The sequence below is a fragment of the Homo sapiens genome, chromosome X, assembly GCF_000001405.40.
Source record: "Homo sapiens chromosome X, GRCh38.p14 Primary Assembly".
NCBI lineage: Eukaryota > Metazoa > Chordata > Mammalia > Primates > Hominidae > Homo > Homo sapiens.
This window is the reverse complement of record NC_000023.11, coordinates 149668947-149676683: the sequence shown is the minus strand read 5'-3', so window position 1 is coordinate 149676683 and position 7737 is coordinate 149668947. Positions and strand designations below refer to the sequence as shown.

The 7737-nt window shown below is 40.8% G+C and overlaps 1 annotated feature.

Moving 5' to 3' along the window:
- Positions 643-1183: an enhancer, noted in NCBI's record as "OCT4-NANOG hESC enhancer chrX:148757169-148757709 (GRCh37/hg19 assembly coordinates)". NCBI's record gives its function as "activates a minimal SCP1, AML or CMV promoter by ChIP-STARR-seq in naive and primed H9 embryonic stem cells {active_cell/tissue: H9 hESC(naive and primed)}" and the evidence as "EXISTENCE:reporter gene assay evidence [ECO:0000049][PMID:30033119]".

Genomic DNA, 7737 nt, shown 5'->3' with positions numbered 1-7737 from the left:
GTTGCTGTAGCATCTATTACTGAATCAGTACAGACAGCTACTTTTGTAGATAATTTGGCCAGAAATGTGTCTGATGTACTTCTCTTACAGCAGGGTATAGATCAAAAGATTCTTGCACATCTGCAAGCCCTTGAGGCTGACTTGGAATATGTAGGGGAGCAACAAGATGCACTTGCGTTCCAACAGCAATTAAACTGTGACTGGGAGCTTAGGCACATCTGTGTTACCTCTCTACCTTGGAATCAATCAATACATAGTTGGGATAAGGTGAAACAGCACCTCTGGGGAACCTTTCGTGATAATTTAACAGCAGACGTAAAGCAACTTAAAACTAAAATTCTAGAATCCCTAAACGCCATAGACCTACAAGCCCAACAAATAGCCATACGGAAGGGTATGAGAGAACATCTCTCCTGGATAGATCCCCACTCCTGGGGGTCACTCCTTGATTGGAAAAGAACGTTGTGAATTATACTCATGTTTGCCTTATGTTATTTACTAATTCTAGGATTCAAAGCCAGAATATGAGTTATAACCGCTGTGCCAGACAAACATGTTGCTGTACACATCTGTGCTCTTCAATCAACAAAATCTGATGCAAAAAAACAGAAAAGGGGGAGATGTAAGAGATAGGTCAGGGTGGTGGGAGAAATTATAAGAAGGAATTATAGGAAAAACACAAGCCTTGGAAGGCCAGGAGGTTTTGCAAAAGCTTCAAAAATTTGGCTGAAGGCAGCCAAAGTCTCTTATCCAAAGCCAGAGAGCAAAAAGCAGATAACAAGGAAGTGTAAAGGAATTGATCTAGATCAGTTAGTTTACTTAGGCCCGAAACCTGGCCTTTAACCATCTGTGTGCAGGACTGCTCTCTCTGGGGGGCGGCCATGTTAATTACCCACAAGATGTGTTGACTCAAAGCCTTTGTCATTAAATCTGTAGTGAATATTTGCCCGCAGTGCCGGCTTGTTGGGGCCATGGCTGCTACAACTCTTTATGTGAATGGCCCAGTCCCCTAGCCTTCTCTTTCACTGGATACCTGTGTCTGAGTACATTTTTTATCCATCGCTCGGTCAGCGTCTGCCAGTCAGATCTGGCATTAATGTATGTGGATATTTTATACTCTCGTGAACATTTTACTATATTAATTTTAAAATTTTGATCAAAAATATGAGTGAAAAATATTTTCTCAATGTTACTTTAATTTGTGTCTCTGCATTTTCTAGCTAGGTTAATTAGAACACTAAGTTAATTTCTTACCCATACGAAGCTGGATTTATGCAGTGTTCTAAGTAAGACTATTCCTCTGGGCATGATTTAAAATTTAAAATTTTGAAATGTCAACATATGTTTTTCATTTGAGGAAAAAAGATTCAGTCAGACTGACCAGGAGGCACGGAAGGAGAGCAGACAGGACATGCTCAGCCCGTGAGGGGCATTGGGTGGATCCAGGGGAGAGCAATTGTCAGAGTTCATGAGTGAGACCACATGCAAAACCAAGTCCACAGAGCCCCAGGCAGGCTGGCACTCAGAGCTCTGAATCCAGAGTTCAGCCCACTAGGGACAGGGACCCTGGAACCCAGGGGAAAGAAGCCAGAGGGGGAGGGAGTATACGACAATGTACAGGAGTAGTTTTGAGAAATCTGAGAAGAACAATCATCAGCTGGGTTGGCATTTCACTGTCTTGATGGTGTCCTTTGAAGCCCAAAAGTTTAAAATCTTTGTGAAGTCCAATTTATCTATTTTTTTTCTGTTCATGCTTTTGGTGTCATATCTAGGAATTATTTGCCTAATCTAAGGTCATGAAGATATACCCCTATGTTGTTTTCTGCAAATTTTATAGTAATAGCTCTTATATTTAGGTCTTTTGTTCATTTTGAGTTAATTTTTGTATATACTGTGAGGTAAGGTCAAACTTCATTCTTTTGTATGTGCTTATCTAGCTGCCCCAGCACCATTTGTTGAAAAGATCATTCTTTCCCCCATTGGGTTCTCTTGACACCCTTATTAAAATCAGTTGTCCCCAGAGACATGAGTTTATTTCTGGACTCTCAATTCTATTTCATGGATCTATACTTCTATCCTTGTACCACTACTGTCTTGACCAGTTGCTTTGTCATAAATTTTGAAATCAGGAAGTGTGAGTCTTCCTATGTTTTTTCTTTTATCAAGGATGTTTAGACTAAAATGGGTACCATTAATATTTGACAAGGAAAATCAATTGTGGGAATAGCATTTTTAAAACATTTTATGTGTCATTTTTAAAGAATTCTTACTTTTGTGGGTACATAGTAGTTGTACATCTCATAAGTACATGAGATGTTTTGATACAGGCATGAAATGTGTAATAATCACATCATGTGAAATGGGGTACCCATCCCCTCAAGCATTTACTCTTTGTGTTACAGACAATTCAATTATGTTCTTTTAGTTATTTTAAAATAACTAAAAACTATTGACCATAGTCACCCTGTTGTGACTTAACAAAATGATCTCCAGTTCCATCCATGTTGTTGCAAATGATAGAATCTCATTCTTTTTGATGGCTGAGTAGCACTCCATTGTGTATATGTACCATATTTTATTTAGCCATTCATCTGTTGATGGAAATTTAGGTTGCTTCCGAATCTTGGCTGTTTTGAATAGTGCTGTAACAAACATGGGAATACAGATATCTCTTTGATATACTGATTTCCTTTCTTTTGAGTATATGCTCAGCAATGGGATTGCTGGATCATATGGTAGCTCTATTTTTAGTTTTTGGAGGACCCTTCAAACTGTTCTTCATAGTGGTTATACTAATTTACATTCCCACCAACAGTGTATGGGAGTTCTCTGTTCTCTACATCCTTGCAAACATTTGTTGTTGCTGTCTTTTGGATATAAGCCATTCTAACTGGGGTGAGATGATATCTCACTGTAGCTTTGATTTGCATTTCTCTGATGATCAAACAGGCAGAGCACTTGTTACATGCTTGTTTGCTATATGTATGTCTTCTTTTGAGAACTGTCTATTCAAATCAATAAGGAATTCTCTATAAATACATATACGTGAATATATTTCTAGACTCTCTCTTTAGTTCCATTGACACATTTCTATTGTTATGACAATACTACACTCTTCTGATTATTGTGACTTTATAATAAGCCTTGAAATTAAGTAGTGTAACCCATGCAACTTTTGTTGTCTTTTTTTTTTAACTTATTACACTTTAAGTTCTGGGATACATGTGCAGAACGTGCAGGTTTCTTACACAGGTATACACGTGTTGTTGTCTTTTTAAAAGTTATTTTGGCTACTCTAAGTTCTTTGTACTTATACATGAATGTGAACACCAGCCTGTCAATTTCTATTTTTAAAAAAGTCTTTCAGGTTTTTGATATGGATTTTATTGAATCTATATATGAATTTGGAAAGAATGTACATCTTAACAGTAGTAAGTCTTCCAACTCATGAATAAGATAGCTATCTCCATTTATTTAGGAGACAAATACCAAAATAAACTTTATTTAGGCATTTATCCTTCATTAATTTATCACTGCAATATTTCTTAGTTTTTGGTGTACAGATCTTCTACATATTTCATCATAGTTATGTCTATGTATTTCATGTTTTCTAGTGTTACTTTTATTTTATTATTTTATTTTGAGACGGAGTTTCGCTCTTGCTGCCCAGGCTGGAGTGCAGTGGCGAGGTCTCGGCTCACTGCAACCTCCATCTCCCAGGTTCAAATGATCCTCCAGCCTCAGCCTCCCATGTAGCTGGGATTACAGGTGCCCGCCACCACACACTGCTAATTTTTGTATTTTTCATAGAGACGGGGTTTCACCACGTCGGCCAGGTTGTTCTCGAACTCCTGACTTCAGGTAATCCGCCTGCCTCGGCCTCCCAAAGTGCTGGGATTGCAGGTGTGATCCTTCACGCCTGGCCTAGTGTTACTTTTAAATCATACTGTTTTTAATTTCAATTTCCAATTTCTCATTGCTAGTATATAAAATAGAATTAATTTTTGTGTATTGATATTTTATCTTGTGACCATGCCAAATTCAATTATTAGTTCTAGAAGCACTTTTATTTTAGATTTGTACAGGTTTCTGCATAGACTAAAGACGGTTTTGCTTTTCCCTTTCCAATCTGGAGGTCTTTTTCTTTCTTCGTTGCACTGAGCAACAAGTATAATGTTGAACAACCACTCCACCTCTGTGAACTCAAACGTCTTAGGTTGTAGTTTCCTGCATGCAAACACCCCGCACAACTTCTGGCAAATGAATATCTCCCTCATCCCTCCTGTTAAAACCCAAATCTGGTACTACACAGACTGAGATGAACACAATGCCCATAGTTGAAACAAGACTAATAAGATACTCAGTAGAACAAGGCTGTTTACAGCATGAGAGCCTGACAGCCTGAAGGCAGCGATTTCAGATTGGAAAACAGAAAACTGAAGGGACCTCTACGGACACTAGGAAAAGAATGCGGGATGGAACTTTTCCCTGACAGTAACCAAGAAGTGAGTGGTCTTCAAGTTACATAGGATAAATTTTTAGGAGGGAAGTGGGATGATTCACATCTCTGCATACAGCTAAATCGGCCATATTACCTTGGAGGGATTTTTGGTAAGATGTACAAAAATTAGATAATCGTGAAGGGTAGGAGAGAATGGAGTGAGCCACTCAATGAGGTGGCCATGGGGGAAGGCTTGGAGGGAACACTCTCTCCCCACGATGTGACCCACCAGAACTTAATATGGGGAGATGGAGAGGGTAGCAGGTTAGTTTGGATGGCTGTATAGGGTTGCTAATGAAATGCTACGTTTCTCCAACCAGAGCATCTTGGCCCCCTCACTGCCACCCCTCCCCCACCATCACCACAGAGGTGTCAGGTTGGTGCTTTGTATATTTAAGCCTTCCAGAGCCACCACTGGATGGGTAGTGGCTCTCTGACTAGTCAAAGCTTAGGGATGTGGTTCGTCATTGTCCTGGGAGGGGTATATATGGGGAGGCCAGGTGGCCTGGAGTAGACCATTGAGAGACGAGGACAAGGTGAAGATGGCCAAGAAACCATAAGCCTCCAGCCCAGTTGTGGAACAACCACCTGCCAACACCAAAGAGGCGAGGAGGAGGAAGACCCCTTCTCAATCAAGGTCCAGAAGCCCTATCAAGGTGAGGAACCCACCCAAGCTCCTCCTCGTCTTCCCCTTGACTCCTCCCTCCCAAGACTTCTACCCTATCCTGGCCTGACACAACCCCCCACCCCAGCCTGTATCCCTTCTCATGAAACCCGTCTTTCCATCCCTCCTCCATCCACTTCCCCAAAAGCAATGCCTTTCTGTGATCTCCTTGTTGTCCTTTCAGGTTCCCAAACCAGCAAGGGAAAAGAAACACTTTGATGGCGTTCCAGAAAAGAAGCCTCTCCCAAAATGACCACTGCTTGAGGAAAACTCCAGGAAGGGAGTAGGCCAACACTACCAGGCCACCGTGACCAGCTGAATGAGGAGCTCAATCAAAACGAGCCACAGCGGGACCAAAACCATCTCCAGTGTGTCCCCTGGGCAGCCAGTAATTTCAGGGCAATACCAGAGACCTGAGATCTATCTGCAAAGTCACCAGAGGTCTAGTCCCCAGAGAAATAGCCAACAAGGTCTAGGGTACATTTTATACCCAGCAGGGCATGCTCCATGGTGATGAAAATTAAATGACTCATAGAACAGAAATATATAAAAATATATGTTGAATGTTAACAGGTATTTTCACAGGTTTGACTTGTTTCTTGATAGTTATTCAGACACTAGGGGAAGGTAAATAAAAGTAAATGAAATAAGCAACTAAATGAGACCTAATAATTGGCCTTTGATTTTAAATATTTAATTTGTTATTATAAACCTTATCAATAACAATAAATCTAAATCAAAAAAGAAAACTAAATGAGTCTGTTGTAAACTGATATGTGTGTCTACATGTTCTCCGATGGTGGGGAGAGAGGAAGGAGGGAAGAGGTAGTGTGTGGGAAGAGATGGAGGTGGGTGTTGCCCGGTTGGGGTCACATGGGCAACCCCAGCCAGGTTGATTCACAGTTAGCCAAGCACATAGGAGAAGGATTGGGTCGGGGCTGAATTCTGGAGACAAATTTCCTCCTTAACACATTGGCCCATGGGAGAAGAGGAAAAGGTTGGTATATCCGTGTGTGCTTGCAGGGCTGTGGACCCAGCTGGGGAGAGGAGTTATGTGTATGGTTCCAGCGTCGCCCCCCATAAAAGGCACACAAAGTAATTGCCCTCATAAAAACCAAAAACCTTCCTACTAAAAATCATGAACAGCACTCTGAAGCACTAAATTAATGGTGTTTGGACATTGAAAATCCAACACTGATTCAGCAACACTCTCGCTTAAAAAATACCTTTGGAATGGAGCAGTTGGCTACCAAGGATGGGGTGTGGGAGTGGCTCCTCCCCCGTGCAGGCAATAAAGGGGAGCATTGTCTACATATTATTATTCAAGTTCAATTTTTATTTGAGACAATTGTAGACTCACATGCAGTTGTAAGAAATAATACAGATAGACCCTGTGCACCCTTTATGTACCTTCCTCTAATGATAACATCTTGCAAAAGTGTAGTACAGTATCACAATTAGGATATTAACTTGATACAGTCAAGACATAGAACAGTCACCACAAGGGTCCCTCATGTTGCCCTTTTATAGCCACAGCCACTTTCTTCCTACACCACCTTCTCCTCCTCAACCCCTAGAAACACCACTCATCTGTTCTGTATTTTTATCATTTTATCATTTCAAGAATGTTATTTGAATGCAGTCATACAATTATGTAAGCTTTTGGTACTGGCTTTTTAAAAATCTGGCATGACTGTCTGGCGATTCATCCAGCTTATTGTGTGTATGAACAGTCTATTTCTTTTCATTGCTGAGTAGTATTCCAAGGGACCTGGATGAACCACAGGTTTTGTTTGTTTGTTTGTTCGAGATGGAGTTTCGCTCTTTCACCCAGGCTGGAGTGAAGTGGCGTGATCTCAGCTCATTGCAATCTCCGCTCCCCGCCGGGTTCAACTGATTCTTCTGCCTCAGCCTCCCAAATAGCTGGGATTGTAGGTACCCGCCACCATGCCCGGCTAATTTTAAATTTTTAGTAGAGACGGGGTTTCGTCATGTTGGCCAGGCAGGTCTCAAACTCCTGACCTCAGGTCATCCACCCGCCTCGGCCTCTCAAAGTGCTAGGATTACAGGTGCGAGCCATCGCACCCGGCCAGCAGTTGTCTTTTAAACCATTAGTCTGTTGAGGGACATCTGGGCTGTTTCCAGTACTTGCTTATTAATAAAGCTGCAGTGAACATTCTTGTACAGGATTTCGTGTGAATATAAGTTGTTAGTTTTCTAAAATAAATTCCCAGGTGTGTGATTGCTGGGTTGTTTGTTAGTTGTATATTTAGTTCTAGTTGTTTTTTAATGAATAGGCTTTATTATTAGAAAAATTTTGGACTGGTAGAAAATTGAGGAGATAGTACGTTTCCCATATACTCCTTTTGTCCCCTGTACAAAGTTTTCTCTATTATTATCCTCTGCTAGTATGCTACATTTTTCACAATTAATGAACTAGTATCGTTATTGATACATTGTTTTTAACTAAAGTCCGTAGTTTACATGAAGGTTCACTCTTTGTGTTGCAAGGATCTTTGGGTTTTGACAAATGCATAATATTGTGTATCCACCATTACAGTTTCACCACCCA